This window comes from Homo sapiens, chromosome 11 (assembly GCF_000001405.40).
Source record: "Homo sapiens chromosome 11, GRCh38.p14 Primary Assembly".
Lineage (NCBI taxonomy): Eukaryota > Metazoa > Chordata > Mammalia > Primates > Hominidae > Homo > Homo sapiens.
This window is the reverse complement of record NC_000011.10, coordinates 105843590-105861717: the sequence shown is the minus strand read 5'-3', so window position 1 is coordinate 105861717 and position 18128 is coordinate 105843590. Positions and strand designations below refer to the sequence as shown.

The window sequence follows — 18128 nt, the reverse complement described above, 5'->3', positions numbered from 1 at the left end:
CACCATCTGTAGTCAATAGCAATTTCATAAACCCTTTTTGTTATTTTACTCACTAGATGGAACTCATTTTGAACAACTGTTTGACTTTCCCCTTGAACAAGGTAGTACAACATTTTTGGTTCAACTATGGAAGAGAAGATGTAAAAGAAACAGTACAACAGTATTTATTGAGGACTCATTATTCTCGGTGCTTTATTTGTTGATGAGGACAGGTGCATATTAGAGAGGCATTATTTAACTCTTCCTCTCTCAGCAGGTGAATGATATAGACTGGGGATCAGTTGAATAACCACTAGGTGAGGCACTGGTACTCCTAATCAGTAAGAGACTGATGACCAAATAAACAACAGAAACTTAGTTTTAAAAAGTGTGTAGCCGGACTCAAGGTAAAGGCTTGGCCCAAGGGAAAGCTTGGTTAGAGCTGTCTGGATGGAACAAGGAAAAATACCACAGAGGAGAAACAACTTGAATTGGGTCTTGAAGGTTGAGAAGGAGCGTGCAAGACTGATGCAGGTGGGGGTGTTTATTACGTGAAGACAGCCTGCCATGAGAGAATAAAATGAATGGTCTTCACCCTGTTCTTGATCTAGTTCTCTCTGCATGTGGAAGGGAAGGCACCTGGTCCAAGCACCTGGGTTAAGGCAGAAGCTGTAAACTCATAATTCCTGCATTTCTTCAGGAAATGCAATATATCTTCAGGCCAATATTGTCTTGATTGTCCTGCCTTTTTTCCATCTCTCTTTTTTTTTTTTTTTTTTTTTCAGACAGTCTTGCTCTGTTGCCCAGGCTGGAGTGCAGTGGCACAATCTTGGCTCACTGTAACCTCCACCTCCTGGGTTCAAGCAATTCTTCTGCCTCAGCCTCCCAAGTAGCTGGGACTACAGGTGCGTGCCACCATACCTGGCTGATTTTTGTATTTTTAGTAGAGCCAGGGTTTTACCATATTGGCCAGGCTGGTCTTGAACTCCTGACCTTGTGATCCACCTGCCTCAGCCTCCCAAAGTGCTGGGATTATAGGCGTGAGTCACAGCACCCAGCCCCATCTCTCATTTTTGAATTGTAATGTGAGAGAAGAATAAAAAAAAGATTCTTTGAATTTATAAATATCCCATACACTAAGATTGGTTAGGATCAGAGCCTGTTAGTCAGTTATATTTTCACTTTATGGTTTAGCATAAACAGAATATTCTAGTCCTCTTTAACAAAGTCTAACACTTATTTGAGCTCATTCTATAGCAACTGTCTGTAGTTTCTTCTTCCTGTGATACTGGAATTGGGTAGAGAGCTGGGTGGATTAAAAGTGAAGATTTAAAACGAGTATACCGCACTTGGAAGATTAGGGCATATTTGTTGAGTTTTCTAATTGGTATGTGAGTCTCATAGATTCAGAGATTTTGAATTTTTTCAGGTATGTTTTCTACATGTCAGAGTTCCAAACATTACTGATGCTCAGTTAAGATCAACAGATGGAACTGATGATGAGATCATATTTGAAATATAAATTATCTGATATCCTGCCAAATGAAATACTGTGGCAGTCAGGATTCATTTTTATCTAAATGAAAAAAAATTCCCCGAAGAGGAAGAAAGAGGGCATGTTAATTACTATATAATTATTCTGGTATATCTATTGCTCCATTTAGTCTTTCCTTTTGTAATGCGTGCCAGTAATTATCTTTTCAAATCTTACCTAGATCCTCCGCCCCAAAACCCCAGCATTCTTTCTCTTGTTTCCCATTCGACACATATGTAACGTGATGACATGAAACCTTCCTTAATATATATGTTCATGCCTCATTTATTCTGTTGCAGGGGCTTATGCTCTGATGGTAACTGAGGCAATGTTCTTTTAAATCTTTTTTTGACACCTATGAACATGTTCTTCGACTTAAAATGAATGCTTTTAAAAATACCAATTGACGTATTACTTTTCTTTTTTCTCCTTTTATTTATCATCATACCAGAATAATGCTAAGATTTTTTTTGTTTGCTTGAGTGTTGCAAAAATAATAAAAACGGCCCCCACACATAGAAATAGTCTTCTCCCTGGGCTTAATTCACAGCTTGGCACGATACTCTAAATATTGCTGCATTTCTGGCTGTCAGGCTTCATGTCAGGACTAGGCATCCATGTTGTTATTCTCCTGCTGACATGACTTTTACAGAATGTGGAGCCACACACCTTCTGATGAAATTTATAGATATGCCCACTTACCTTACAAATTGAAGGACTAACTCTAAAAACAAAATTATAATTCAAATCCAGCCTTCCATTATCTGATTTTTTAGATTTACAAATGACACTAGAATTGGAATCAGACAGAACCCTAGGACACAATCTTTGTTGAATGGCAAAGAAAGTTGGTTACTTAAAAAGCCCCATTAATCATAGTCAGAAATAAATGGCATCCTTTCATTGCAGTGCAAAGGACATGCAGTAATAGTTTCAGAGCTTGGCTAAAATCATACTCTTTTATAAGCTATGTTTGATTCTAATATGCTCTCTTATTATTCATTGATATTCAGATGTGAGTGTCTTATTTATTTGCTAACATAGCTGGAAATATATTGTAACTAGGATAAAATACTGCTGTTGAATCTATGATTATGTAACTTAGTTGTTATATAAACTAGATAATCATAAGTCAAGTCATACTATTTCCACATCTGGCTATGATTTGCATCTCCTAGGTATTAGAAAATTTGTAGTATAATATTGTTGGCCAAAGAATGAATACTGCAGTTTTAGATGAATATCATGTAGTTAACAGGAAATTCACTACTGTAAAGGATATTTTAAATCTTGCTTCTACTCTAAAAAGCTGTCTAACATTTTAATTCTATATAATTTACTGAAAACCTACTACATACAGAATTCTATAAATTATATCAAGATAAAGATGTGGGAACTGGATGACATTTTGTTAACTGAAATAAGCCAGGCACAGAAAGACAAGTTTCCCATGTTCTCACTCATTTATAGGAGCTAAAAGTTAAAACAACTGAACTTATTGGAGATAGTAGAATGATGGTTACCAGAGGCTGGGAAGGATAGTGAGGGAGGAGGGAAATGGGGATGGTTAATAGGTACAAAAATATAGTTAGATAAGATAAATAAGATATAGTCTTTGATAGCACAACAGGGTGACTAAAGTCAACAATAATTTATTGTACATTTTAAAATAACTGTAAGAGTATAACTAGAATGTTTATAACATAAAGAAAGAATAAATGCTTGAGGAGATGGATACTAAGTTACTCTGATGTGATCATTATGCACTGTATGCCTGTATCAAAATATTTCATGCACCCCATAAATATACACAGCTACTATGTACCTATAAGAACATTTTTAAAAAGATAGGTAATGTGAAATACAAAGGTGAAACAAAAGATAAAGATGTGATTCTTGTCTTTACAAAGAATTTACTATCTAGGAAAACCGATAGGTAAACTATCCATTATGCAAAATACACAGCATTATATAAATAAATTCAAAGTAATGAAAATAATTTTTTAGAATAGCAGAGCATATCATCGACATAATCACTTTATTAGATTATAATAGTAATTAAGGGCTTTTTCATAGTTACTAAAGAACACTGTCAATTACATATAAAATATTTTTAAGTGTTATGATATCACATAAAGATTTTATCAATTATGTTAAATAGAATCAAAATGAGGTAAGCAGTCCTGAGCTACTGCACCCTTACATGTCAACACTTATTACATCATCCATGGATAATGACCTATTTTGCATGAGTACCAATTCAGAGATGTTGCTACTCACAACAATAGCTGGGCTTATTTATTTGATGTTTTTGTTTGCAAGAGTTATTTAACTGTCAGCACACAGAGCAGCAGAAAGAGAAGCAGAATACATTTGTGCCAGGGAAGAAAGTATTTAGAAAAGAAAGAGTTATCCATATGCCCTGAAAAAGCTTTACTTGGATGAGAACTAGAAAGTGTCCATTCTGCTTTTCAATGAGAAGGTCATTGGTGCACTTAGCATGAGCAGGGTTAATGGAATGCTGGATATAGAAGACATTTTTCAGATTGAGAAATTGAGGAGAAAATGGGAAGAGGTGAGAATGTGGAAATAATCAGGGAATATCATCAGAATAATGAAGTAATAAGATGAAGGGTATGCCAGTTTGATGAATATGGGATAGAGAAACATCTAGATTATGGGAACTGGTTTGGGAAGGAGAAGACTAGGTCTGTCCCATGGGGGGTTGCTGAGCCTGAAAAGGGAACATGGCAAGGGGCATAGCAGCAGCTTGTAGTTAGTTAAATTAAAGCCTCCCTCATAAATCTTGTAAATTGCTATGGAGGTTCTTGCTGCTACATCATCAATATCTCTGGTCTGGCACAATTTGTCAGTATCCAAAACTGGTGGATTCAAGGAGAAAGGTGTGTGTGTCTGTGTGTGTCTAACGCCACTTATTGATTTGAGTCAAGAAAGGAATAAGATTCTGTAATCCTCACTGCATTTAATGCCACCATGCTGGAACTGTAGAGTAGATTTAATAACCATTTAGGTTGGACTCTTTCCAAAGCAGCTTAGTACTGAAATAACATGTTCAAAGGCCACAGTCTGGACTCCCAGGTTTCAGTACATGGAGGAATAACCAACATTGTAGCTTGGGTAAAATTACCTGCAGCTGTAACTATAGTATTTATTTATGCCGTAGTTCAAAAAGGGCATACTAAAAATAAGCAAAGATTTTCCTACTTTTACAGCCTGAAGCTATTCACGTAAACCCAAGATAAGATGGAATGTCTTGAGTTTTCCCTTTTCTACAAACACTCAAGAGTAAAAGTAGAGAATTCATCTTCAAAGATGGATTGATAATAATCATTGTTAAAGGTGGTTATTCTGGGTCCTAGATTTTTCCTAAGGCATTTTCTGACACTAACATTTACTGTCTTCTGATTCCCTAGTATTCATATTTAGTTCAGATGACATCTTATAAGAAAATTTGATACTTTAAATCTTTAAAGTTAAAGCACTGTCGTAGAGTCTGTAAGTTGGTGGTTCTCTACTACTACTTCACCCCTTCATCCAAAGCAGTGGGATTTTAACTTGGACCTATGGACAGTCAGAATAAATATATTTCCTTGCTTCTCTTTCAGCTAGATATATGGCTCTGTGACTAAGTTGTGGGCAATGGGTTATAAGTGGAACGGTTGTGTGGAGGCTTCAGGAAACTCTCCTTAAAAGACTGTATGAATATACTTTTTATCTTGCATAGCAGGTCACATTCAGAAGCTTCAAAAACTTCAGTTTATTTTGTATGTTTGGAAGGACAAGAAGGGATATGTGGAGAATTGGCATGGGCTGTGGAAAGAGCTTCTAAGACTGGAGAGGTGAACAGGCAAGGGATATATTACAAGAGCTTTCTCTATCATTTAAAGAAATTTAGGTTTTACTTCATAGACTCTCAGAAAAGAGTGACAAAACAATGTGTCTTAGAGGGATGATTACAGCTGAAGTGTGGAAAATACAATGGATGTGGGAAACACAGAAATGGGAAAATCACTTAGGAACCCACATGGTAGTAATCCAGGTGAGAAGTAATGGGGGCCAGATTTAGGACCATGCAGAGGAAGGAGAATAGTTTCTAGATTAAGGATACAGAATAAATCAGCTTAGTGATTAATGACACATAAATCATAGAGAGATGATTTGAGTCAGACTACTATCTATTCTACTGGTGGTCATTCTACTTCTATTTTCAGATTGAACTCTTAGGGTTTTTTTGACCTTCAGAAGCACATATTTTTCCATTTGGATTTCAGGTGTCAGTTGACTTCTGATGAAAACTATCCTTGCAGCCACCTCCTTCATCACCCAAAGTAGTATAATAAATTATGACAGAGGTCTGAGAAACCCATTTTTCTCTCTGGTTATAGACATCAATGATTCTAGAAACAATCTGTAGATTTTGAATATTCCCTATGAATACACTGATCTCTTTTCAAGTTTGCCTCCATCATTATTTATCTTCTTAGCACTGTGGGCCTCCACAAACATCTTTTTACAATAAAGGCAATGTGTTTCTATTTTAAGTAAAGCATTTTTGAAAAATTTGAATAATTTTAAACTCAAATAGCAAAAGACTAATTTCCAATCAGAATAAATATCTAGCATAATTACTATATAGCTATTATTTTGCTCATAAAGTACAACTTTTTCTTTTATCTGTTTTACTATATATTTTATATATCACACTATATAAAATTTATAATTCTGATTTGATACTTTTTTATATCACATTATATAAAGCTCACAGTTCCAATGTGTGTAAAAACAACCATTGTATTTTTATAAGGGAATTAAAATATATGTTTGTGAGTTAACAGGCACTCAAACAAGGTCTTTGTCTAATATTAAGCATGTAAGGTATGTAAGACATAATTTTGAGTGTCAAACCTATTCAATATTGCGATACCTTGGGAAAGCAGTGTTAAGCAAAAGATTAGACCCTTTCAAAGGGGGTTTCACCATGGAGAGAATGACTTGGACTGTAGTATGGTCCCTAAAGGATGGAAAGGGTTGATGAATAAAGATGGTGAGGAGGAAGGAGCTGCTGCATCATAAAGCAAAGGCACAGAGGCAGGAGCTTGGAGAATGCTTAATAAATTATTAATCATTGATAGTTAATAGAGCAGGCTGCTGGAGTAATGTATTCATAAACTACATTATGCTTTATTAGTATTTCACAATACAGTTGAACCTCATAACAGCCCTGTGAAGTAGATATTATCCCCACCATAAAGGTGAAGAAATAAAAACAATTTATGTGACTTACATCAAAGCATAACCCCACTAAGTGGCAGAAATGTGAATGAACTCAAGTCTTCCATTCTCCAGCTTAGGGACTTTTCACCACACTTCAGCATGCAGAGAGAGCGATGAAATTAGCAAGGAAGGATGAGGCTGTGATGTGAAGGCCTTTCAATCACAGTCACCATTAATTCCATTCTTTCTCTCACAATCACATCTCGTATTTTAGCATATTCTGTCAAGGCTACCTTCAAAATATATCAAAAACCTGGCCATTTCTTCCTACCGACACTGCCTCCACCCAGGCCCAAGCCTCTTGTTTGCAAATGCCTCTTTACATGTCTTTTATTTCCTCCACCTTTGCCCGCTTTGCACTACTCATAGCATAGCTTCAGGAATGGAACTTTTCAGGCAAGCCAGATCATACCACTTACAGGTCCAAACTCTCCAATTGCTCCTTTATACTGACGTCATCCACTGCTCTCTTGCTCTCAAACATCACCAGACATCTGGCTGCTTTGCCAGGGGTGCTCTGGCTCAGGCTTCACCCTGCTGTGCTTTCCCCAAGATGGGTCTTCAGGGTTTTGCCTTTATGTTCTTAGGTTTCTACCCAAATGCCCTCTCTTCAGTGAGGCCGTTCTGGGTTACTTTATCTAAAATTTCAGCTCCTTCATCCTGTGCTTTTCTATTCCTCTTCTCTGCTTTACTTTCTCCCCAACACTTCACCACCACCTAATATACTCTAGATTTTACTCACTCACCTTGTTTATTGTCTCTTTCCCATACTAAAAGGTAAGCTCATGAAGTCAGGAGGCTTGTTTTGTTCACTGTGCCTAGAAGAAGACTTGGCATCTAAAAGGGACTCGATAAATAGTTTTGGATAATTAAATACTGAAAGTTTAGAAATTACTCCACTGATCATTGTGAAACAATACTGAAACAGTAGAAACCTTCGAAGCTTTGGAGCAGAGAAGAGACAGATTTATAAAACTGCTTTTATAATGCTAGTTTGATATAGTGGAAATGATGCATCCGAAGAGTGGAAAGAGAAGGAGGACAGGGAATCCAAATAGGAGACTACTGAAATTAATACAGGCATAATGCCAAATCTCCTGTCACTTAGACCAACTCCAGAAAAAGTGGAAAGAAAGGAGAGTGTTGATTGTTTGCTTTTCTCTAAATTCTACACTCCCCCCACCCCACCAATCCTGTACTTATCTGTATAAGAGCCAGGAGATATTTCATTGTATCAGGTGGAGCCATATGACATTTTCATTTCTGCTGATCAAAAATAGTCAAATATCAGCAATGTCTTATTGTTCATCCCAGAGATAGCTTCTGAATGAATAATAAGTAATATTACTGACATCGGAATGAGCTGAAAACTACTTAATTTATACTTTGTACATTTTGGTCCTGAAAGAATGTGGCAAGTAAATGCAAAAACTCTACAACTCTACAAATGGCAGAGAGAGGTCATGAGTTGTAGAAGCCCAGAGTCCCACATATCTCAGCAGGAATACCTTTAGAGATATCCTAAGGTAGCCTTTAATAGTAATCTCCAATTTTCATAATCTTTATTTATAGCAACCATCCTGAGTCATTAATAAGAGCTAAAATAAGCTTCAGAAACTTAGGATTGAAGTAAGTGTGAAATTCATTTCAGAAAGGACTCCATTCTAAATGATAAAAACAGAAATATTTTTGGTTCATAAAAACAAATCCTGAGCTAACCTGCAAAACTGACTCATTAATTGAGGGTGCAAGATAGCCAGTGCTGTCCAAAGAATTCTGGTTCTTAAAAGAGCAATTAATTTATTCTACCGTATGTTGAAGTTTGAGTCCAACAGATCTCATTAATTAATCATAAAAGCAATCACTAGCAACGAAACTCAAAGAAGTGTTACACAACATATTAAGTATCAGCTTGTTATATTCACATGCCAAGCTGTGTACTGTAAATAATATTAATTTGGATCTGGCTTTTATACACAAAGCCAAAACCATTCATTTTGGTTGATTTGAAAGTGATATTTTAAACTGTTACTTTCGTCTTTTCTTTAGAGCAGGAGTAGCAGTACATAATTTTCTTGTGATGATTCTGGTGAAAGGATTTGCATACAATTATGGAGACAATTTCTGTTCCTAGCAGGAAAAAACACAGGATGAAGTAAGTATTCACCATATGATTCGCCTAATTTTTATATCCTACTGAGACTAGCTCAGTTCTAGGAAGTAATTGTAAACTCATGTCAGGGACTGAGAGTGAATACATTTGATTGCTCACTATTAAATTTCTTTAGTGGAGAAATGACACTGAGGTGATTATCTAAATACAGAGTGATTTATTGAACAGCATGCTAGGTGACAAATGATGGGATCAGTGGTAGCCTCTGTTACTTTTAACGGCAAACGTTCTGTTTCTCATTTCAACTCTGTGGTTCTGAGGCAGGTTATTTAAATTTCTTAATCTTCCACCTTTGACTTTCTATGTAATGAAGAAGATTAATGTAGGATTTTATTAGTCATGATAATCTTTTCTATAGCTGTAAATAAAAATCAGCTTCATTCCACTGTGGAGTAACTTATAAGGCTGCTGTTCATTTGAGGGAAGTAGATTGCGGATTCTTCATAGGTAAAGAAATTCATCCCTACAACTCTGGGAAAGTCATAATGTATAACTCAACATCCCACACTCCCTCCAAACGAAAAACAAAAACCTAGCTCTTTTTCTTAAATTCCGTATTTGGTCATTAGTCATTTACTTATCACTTTAGTCAGAAACCTAAGAGATTCTCTCAGACTCATTACTCAGCTTCACCCTCATCCCACACCAATCCTGACATTTCTTCCTAAATATTACATTTAAGACATTTCATGAGCAGTTCTCTATTTATTTCTTCTTTCACTTTTCACTCAATGAATATTTGTTGAGCATTTCCTACATTTCAGGCCACTGATCCAGAGGCTGCCGATATAGAAATGGAACAGTAGGATGTGCTTTTCTTCATGAAGCTTACATTCCAGTGGCTGAGGCAGACAAGAAGTAATACACAAATACATTTATAATAGAAGGACAAGAGGTAGTAAGTACTATGAAGGAAAATAAGGGAAAGGAGGAATAGAAATGACCAGGAGTGGTGACAGGAGGGATGGATGTTTATCTTCCCAAACCAATCTTTCACTGTGTCTCTTAGGTATGCGCCACTCAACTCATACTGAAGATTGGTGGTTCTCTGAATAAACCAGATTCTCTCTTGCCTTTAACGGAATGCAATGGCTATTCCCTGCGCTAAGAGAGTCTGTATGCCCTACACTCACTGGCAACTTCTAATCTTTCTTTAAGTCTCAGCTTCAGCTTCAGACCATTTCAGAAGCCTTCTCTGGCCTCATCCATGTGGGGTTGTTGTCTTTTTTCTTTACATTTCCCTAGCTGTTTGTACAGTAATTACAGCTCATGCTACTCTGAATTAATTAAATCATTTATTAAATAAGTCCTATGTGCTACTTTGGAAAGTATTAAGTATACAGCGTGCCTGTCACTAACCTCAGGGATGTGAAATTATAACTGTAATTGCTAGTTTACCTGTCTACTTCCCTTTAAGTATGAGACTAGCTTTTATTCATTTTGATTTCCCTATTTTTTTCACACAAAGGAAAGAATAAGCTCAACAAGAGGGAATTAGGTTGAATTAAATGACAAGGGTAAAAATTCTGCCCTTTTTCTATATCCCTTCCCATTTGATCAAGCCTAATAATAATAAAGGTAATAGTAATAACAATTATTGAAGGCCTGACAAATCCATGACCTTTAATATTGTATTAAGTGCTTTATTGGCATGGTGTTAGTTTTATTATCTTCATTTTATATAAAGGAAACTGATGATACAGAAGTTAAGTTCTTGGCCAAGAGCATGTAGCTATTAATTGGTAAAGCCTCATTCTGTCTGATATTACAGTCTGCTTTTTATTCTCCTCATGATATGGTCTATAATACAATGCAAACTTAATTCCATTCAGTTTGGGTTAATTTTATTCCCCTATTAAGGATTCATTTTTGACCTAGACATATCCCTGACCACGAAGCACTGCTGGATACAATGATATTTCCAAGAAGTGTGGTGGCTTCTGCTCTTTACATTGAGCGTATGCTTGCTGCTTTCACTCTAAGTTCACAGGGACGTAAAGCCCCCTTCTCCCAATTCTCCCCTCCCCAAATGTCTCTGGTAGCTCTAGCCCAAACATTAGAACCATTGCAAAGATTACAATAATGAACACAGTTTCTTTCTTCAGAATACCCTGTGAGTGCTGCCCTGTGGTCCAGTTTGGTTAATGATGTTGTCCCGGCACTGCTCAGGACACACTATCAACTGCCTTCTCTCTGTAAGGACATCAAACATTAAACCGTAGAATTAGGTTGACTTTAGTCAAAAAGCTTTTGAGTTACTACTTAGATCTATCTATATGCTTGCCCAAGTTCTTCCCTTCTAGAAACAGTCACAAAACCCCATAGGACTATTTCACAAATTAAGTTTGAATTATGGTATAGAATAACTTTTATTGATGCAGGGATAAATGTAGGCAAGTTTTCTGAATAGGTATTAAGATGGTAAAGCCAAAAAGTACTTATATTTTAATTAGAATAAATTTGCCTGAGAATTATAATGAATGCAAAAAAAGTCTACAATAACTTATATAACTGTAACAAATTGGAACCAAGTTTGTATTATCAAGAGGAGAAGTCAGATCAAGTTATTTATTTTTCATCAAATATTTACAATGTGGCAATTAGTCAGTTTTGCTTTGCTTTTTTTTCACAATGGTACCGTGTGCCACCGACATTTTGGTAGAAACTCATTAAGGTTTTCGAAGTTTACTTTCATGAAACTGATAGGCACAATCAAATGAATTGTGCTGGTGAATTAAATTGTTATACATATTTGGGCAAACACTGGTATCATACCTCTAAAACTGGCAAGTTTAGTTGCAGTGTGACAGAACACAGAAAATACATTAAGTAATTTGTTAGTTCAAATCCTTTTAATAAATTTGGCTTAAAAAACCCGAGAACAACAAATTCCAGTAAAGAATCCTAGGGTTGTTTTTTAGAGCTAATTATGACTGTAAAGTTTGAGATATTAATGCCTATGTTATATGTTTGGTAGTTAAGCTTGCAGAAAGAAAAGGATAACCACTGTTGTATGAAATTCTATTTATACTGGCTTAATAGTCCTGGGAGAGCTGCTTCCAAGCTTATAGAGCTTAGCACTCTCCTTATCTGAGGCTTCTGCACTGGTCCTGCCTCATTTGATCCATCACCTGACAGTGAAAACTACTTTGGCTGTGCTGCTGCTGCTAATCTGTTTAAATAGGTAGTTCAGCGTCATTGCCAAATTGACCACTCCAATTGATGCCTCAATTAGCTATTCATTTTACAAAAGGCAAACTTGTATATATTCCAGATCTGTAGATTTATTATTATGCTGGTCATTGCCACTCAGAGGTTACACTAGGTGTCTCCTTCAGAACTGAGCTGGATACTGTCCATCCAGATCCACATCCACTTTTTATTTTGCCTGACCTTGCTCTGTATTGGTATTAGAAGAGGCTGACCAGTATGGTCTGCAGCTGTGTGCTTTGGCTTCCAGTTGAGTTGATTAAAAGGAATCATGTGCAACATATCAAAGGGAGAAGAGGGAATTCAGGTATTCTTTTGTTTTTTCTTTTTTTTGAGATGGAGTCTAGCACTCTGTCTCCTAGGCTGGAATGCAGTGGCGCAATCTGGGCTCACTGCAACCTCCGACTCCCAGGTTCAAGTGATTTTCCTATCTCAGCCTTCTGAGTTTCTGAGATTACAGGCACCTGCCACAATGCCCAGCTAATATTTTTGGATTTTTAGTAGAGACGGGTTGTCGCCATGTTGAGGGTGGTCTCGAACTCCTGACCTCAGGTGATCCACCTGCCTTGGCCTCCCAAGGAAGTCAGGTATTCTTTACATGATTCCTTTCCTGCCAGGTCGACGTGGGGGTGACTGAATCCCTAAATAAAGGCCCTAGTCTCTGCCATTCAGCATTCTCCATACAGCTGCACTCTCCACACAACCACATCTTCACCTTCCTTGCCTGTTCCGACTTATGGTGGTGAAGACTCCCTGCTCTTGCTACCTCTGAGATGGGGCACCATCTTTTTTCTTGTTGGTGTCCCTAAAGCTTGCCCACACCTTTTAAAAGCAGTTGCATTATTAAGCACTTTTTTGATGACCCAGTTAGAGTGCACCATTAGTTTCCCACCAGGATAGCAACTAACTGATGTAGCTTTGAGCTCAAAGCAGTATATGTTTGGTAGAAGAAATGCATAGGTATTAATTTTCTACCCATCCGGTTATTTTCCCACTTTAATGTAAATTCCAGTAATTGCATGAGACAGTTTGTAACTTTCACTATGCTTTCATTACACTCTGGGGACAGAAAAAGTGTATGTTCTAACCTTACATCTTCTAAAATGACCACTTTAAAATAAACTATATTTTAATGTTGTGCCAAAAATTAGGAAGGTACATTTATTCTAAATCATCACGTTGTACATGTTGAATATTTACAATCTTTTTCAATTAATTTTTTTAATATTAAGAAAGCTCTAACACAAGAGTTTACAATTTCAAAGAGTACAAAAAAGTGCTGCCTGCTGTCCCTTCTCATATTTTAGTTGTACCCTAGTGATCTTGACTTCTTTTACATTTAGACAAAGGCTATTTTTTTAACAAATAATAAGCAAATGTTCTCCATTATGCTAATGAAACCATTTTAATCAACTAGACGTGGCCTGAAAAGCAAAGGCTTTTGCCATCCAATTGCTGCCACAAATAATGGCTTACTTGACATGAAAGATGTCAAAATTATCATTTTTGGAAGACATTATCCAAAATTAAATTGGTTAATTCCACAAAATTCTGCTCAGCAAGTCTACTAATTAAATCTCATGGAGTATATTTTCCAGCCACCTATTCTGGCAGGCTCACCAGATAGTTACAAAGTCCAGAACCAAATATTCTATAGGGCCATCTACAGGGATTTTCGGTGGTTTGAATGGGTCAATTTCAACACCAGTAATTAAAGTTTTCCAAATCTAATATTTCTCCATTATGGTTTGGAACTTTAAGGTCACAATCAAGCAATTATATAAATGTTCTACCTGACAGATCCAAAGTTGCTTTTTGGGGAAGTTCTAGCTTTGTCTAAAAATAACTTTCCATAGGGAGGTAGGATTACCTTTTCTGTAAATTTTTCAGCATTCAAAATAAAATGTCTTATCCTGCCACTTCACCATCTGGCTCTTAAAACATATGGATGTTGATTCAGTGAGTAACAAAAAAAATGCAGTATTTTAGATTCTCATTAAATGTATTCTTGAATTACCTGCTATCTTTGTATCAAATGCTAGAGATAAAGAGGTTTTTTATGGAATATGTTTCCCCTTAAGTTGCTGATATATTTTACACTATAGCTTGTGCTCTAATGCAGAGGTCCCCAACCCGTGATCTGCAGACCCCTACCGGTCCCTGGCCTGTTAGCAACTTGGCTACACAGCAAGATGTGAGCAGTGGGCAAGGGAGCATTACTGCCTGAGCTCCACCTCCTGTCAGGACAGCAGTGGCATTAGATGCTCATAGGAGCATGAACCCTATTGTGAACTGCACATACAAGGGATCTAGGTTGTGTGCTCGTCATGAGAATCTAAGATCCTGATGATCTGAGGTGGAACAGTTTCATCCCCCCAATTTTCCTGGAAAAATTGTCTTCCAGGAAACCGGTCCCCGGTGCCAAAAAGATTGTGTGCTCGTCATGAGAATCTAAGATCCTGATGATCTGAGGTGGAACAGTTTCATCCCCCCAATTTTCCTGGAAAAATTGTCTTCCAGGAAACCGGTCCCCGGTGCCAAAAAGATTGGGGACCGTTGCCCTAATGGGTTATTGGATGGCACCAGCTCATCCTCACCTGCAGAATTGGGTTACAAGGTATACAGTAATGTTACTCTTTCAACTTTTATTGAGACTCTTTGCAATAAGATACAGTATTTAGACAGTCTCTGTGTTGGTTGTAAAGCTCTTTAAAGAAAATATTTTTTACCAATGTTCTCCAAAAAAGGTCTCACATTTAACTTTTCTTTATGATTCCATCATTAGGATGATCCTTCTTGGAGAGTTGGTATACTAAATATTTTTTGTGGTAATAGGAATTACACATCAATAATTTTGTTTTCCTCACTGATTACCAAGAAGTTCAGAGCAAATATTATATTCAGTTATCATTGTTGTATCAGCCCTTGTTTTTGCAAGTTGTTTTTTCCTTGTTTTTCATGGCTTTGGCTTCTATTTCTTTTAAAATAATTTGTACATATTTATGTGTGTAATAGTCATATGTGTGTGAATTACATATATGTAATTACATATATGTTCATTACAAAATATATTATGTATACATGCATTCATTGTATATTAAGCCACCTCAGATCCATTTTGCAAGGAGTTAAGAAATGAATATGTATGTAAATATTTTCTGAAGTCATTTTAATCAATACCTCTTCCTCCTCACTTCTTCCAAATTAACTACAGGTGTTGTCAAAACAATTTATATGCAATAAAATTTTAAATAATCAGCAATTTGAAAATGAATTTGCTTTCCAAATTCCAAATACTAGTTTTCTAATTTTTAGAATTATTGACACAGAAATACTATATATACCACAAGAAATGGTATATGCAGATTTCCAAAATACTTAAATATTGTTAGGTCAGGAAATTTTTCTTATTATTAATTGTATAGATAAGCACACCATAAATATTTATTGATCAGTTATTTTTCTTCTTTGCTTTGACAAATAAAAACACTTTGTTTCTCTAAGAAGGAACTACATGAACCATAGTAAACATTTACTGAGTGTTTACTCTGTACTCTGTTAAGGGCTTCACACTTCTTATTTCCTCAAAACAACTCTATGGGATAGTTTTTGTTTGTTTGTTTGTTTGTTTGTTTTGAGACGGAGTCTCTCTCTGTCGCCCAGGCTGGAGTGCAGTGGCGTGATCTAGGCTCACTGCAAGCTCCGACTCCCGGGTTCACGTCATTCCTGAGGCTCCTGCCTCAGCCTCCCAACTAGCTGGGACTACAGGCACCCACCACCACACCTGGCTAATTTTTTTGTATTTTTAGTAGAGACAGCATTTCACCGTATTAGCCAGGATGGTCTCTATCTCCTGACCTCGCGATCTACCCGCCTCGGTCTCCCAAAGTGCTGGGACTTACAGGCGTGAGCCACCGTGCCCGGCCTGGGATAGGTATTTTTATCCATACTTTTTTCAGATGAAGAAACAGGATTAGCAAATCTAGGGGCAGATTGTGTTTTTTAAGATGGTTACAACAAAATCTATCTTCCTACATGCTCTTCTTACCATGTAACATTGATGCTCCTCCCACTGAACTGCAGGGGTCAAGGTTCCCTCTCCTTGTCTCCAGGCAGGCTAGTGACTGCTGAGGAAGTGATGCTATGTGACTTCCAAGGCTAGATCATAACGGCCAATAGATTCTTCCTGGTCCCCTAGGGGTGGTTGCTTTTGGAACCACATACCATGATGTAAGGAAGCCCAAGCAGCCACAGCAAAGAATACATGTAAGTGTTAACAACTGATAACCCCAGATGAAGTTCCAGCTGACAGCCATGACCAACCACCAGACACATGAATGAGAGAGTCTTTGACATCAGTCAACCCCAGTGACCATCTGGCTGAAATTTCATGAGACACACCTGAGTGAGAATCAAGTAGCTAAGCCCACTCACCTGCAAAACCATGTGAGGTAATAATAAAATGATGGTCGTTGTTTAAAGTCACTAAATGTGGAAGTAAATTGTTATACAGCAATAGATTACCAGAACATTGACCAAGGTCACACAACTACTAAGCAGAGCCTGAACACATGCCTAGGCAGTCTTACTTAATCACCTACATTCCCGCTGTGCCATACTGCTCCTGTTTACTGTCTTCTATAAACCGCAGAAGCCTGCATAGAGAAACACAGGTTTCTATATATAGATGCACAGAATAGTAAGTGTGTTTGTGTGTGTGCAATAGTAGTAGCAGTAGTGGTAGTAGTACTAATAGTAATAGTAGCAGTAATGGTAGCAGCAGCAGCAGTAATAAAGTCTGGATAGCACTAATGATGGTAATAAAAAATTCTAGATAAAGGAACCATTACCTGAAACTTTTAGGATCTTTGGAGAAATAATTCTTAACATATTTTCCCAGTGACATAAGTCCTAAAAATGTACAAAGACTACATTATGCTGTGGTTGGATATTTACCTTATTAAAAGCTGTTACTGAATAGTTTGTTCTTAATGCAAAGGTCCTGTTTTACAATTGCTCTTCAGTTCATTAATTTTCATTTTATTCCCTGCAAGGGCATTTAGGGTCTGGAATATACAGCTGTAAAATATAGCTCTCACTAGAATTCATAATTTACTATGTCTCAATATTGCATTTGAAGAGGTCCTTGAAACATGGTGAGGTCAGAGTGGAGTAGAAAAGAAAACCATTTGGCATATTTAATAATGGACTATTTGTCCACAGAATAATCTGAAATCTTTTCAAGTATGTCTGAAGGTGACTTGTATCACAAACTCACTCATATTGGGTTGGTCACTTTATAGAAATTGGAAGGGGAGGTTATATCCATTTCATTAAATTTTTAGCTCAACAATGTTTAACTTTGATTGCTTATTATAAGTAGGGTGACTGTACAATTTATCATAGCTACCAAGACAATTTCAAGAGTGAAAGGGGGCATTGGGCACTGTTAAGATTACACTAGGATATCAGGTACAAACCAGGACTATGTAGGTAACCCAAGATGCAGGAGCCAGTTACCAGGCTATGTCTTAGAAAACAGAGATAAATAAGACACTGCCATCAAGCAGTTCATAATCTTCAAATTCCTCTTCTTTTTGTAACTGAGAGCTGGCGAAAAGCATTGACAGAAAAAAAGCGACCAATGGAGGAGGTCACATAAAGTCCAGAGATGTTATCCATCAAGAGGTCTTAAGTATCCAGGCAGTTCTTGAATCTCTTGTATCATTTTTCTCATCCTTATCTGGCCAAAGGTCAATATCTATGCTTCTGAGGAGTCACATACGATCGTCCCAGCACTTCCATTTTATTTCAGAAACCTATGAAACTACTAGAAATTCTCTGAGATAGCTAGAACTGAGGGCCAGGAACTGGAATCAAGTGTTTGAGAGCAAAGGATTCTAGATCTCCAGTGTTTGTGAGATGTTGAATCCAAGA

General features: G+C 36.9%; 1 protein-coding gene across 28 annotated transcripts in view; it reads right to left on the bottom strand.

Moving 5' to 3' along the window:
• GRIA4 (glutamate ionotropic receptor AMPA type subunit 4) overlaps window positions 1-18128 on the bottom strand; it is a 372097-nt gene that overhangs the window by 120373 nt on the left and 233596 nt on the right. Inside the window, exon 1 of one of the 28 annotated variants that reach the window (XM_017017611.3) lies at window positions 7555-15050. The exons of the other annotated variants lie outside the window; for them this stretch is intronic. The gene's annotated coding sequence lies outside the window, so the exon portion shown is untranslated. Of the gene's footprint in view, window positions 1-7554; window positions 15051-18128 lie in introns of those variants that run through there. 28 annotated transcript variants of the gene reach the window in all.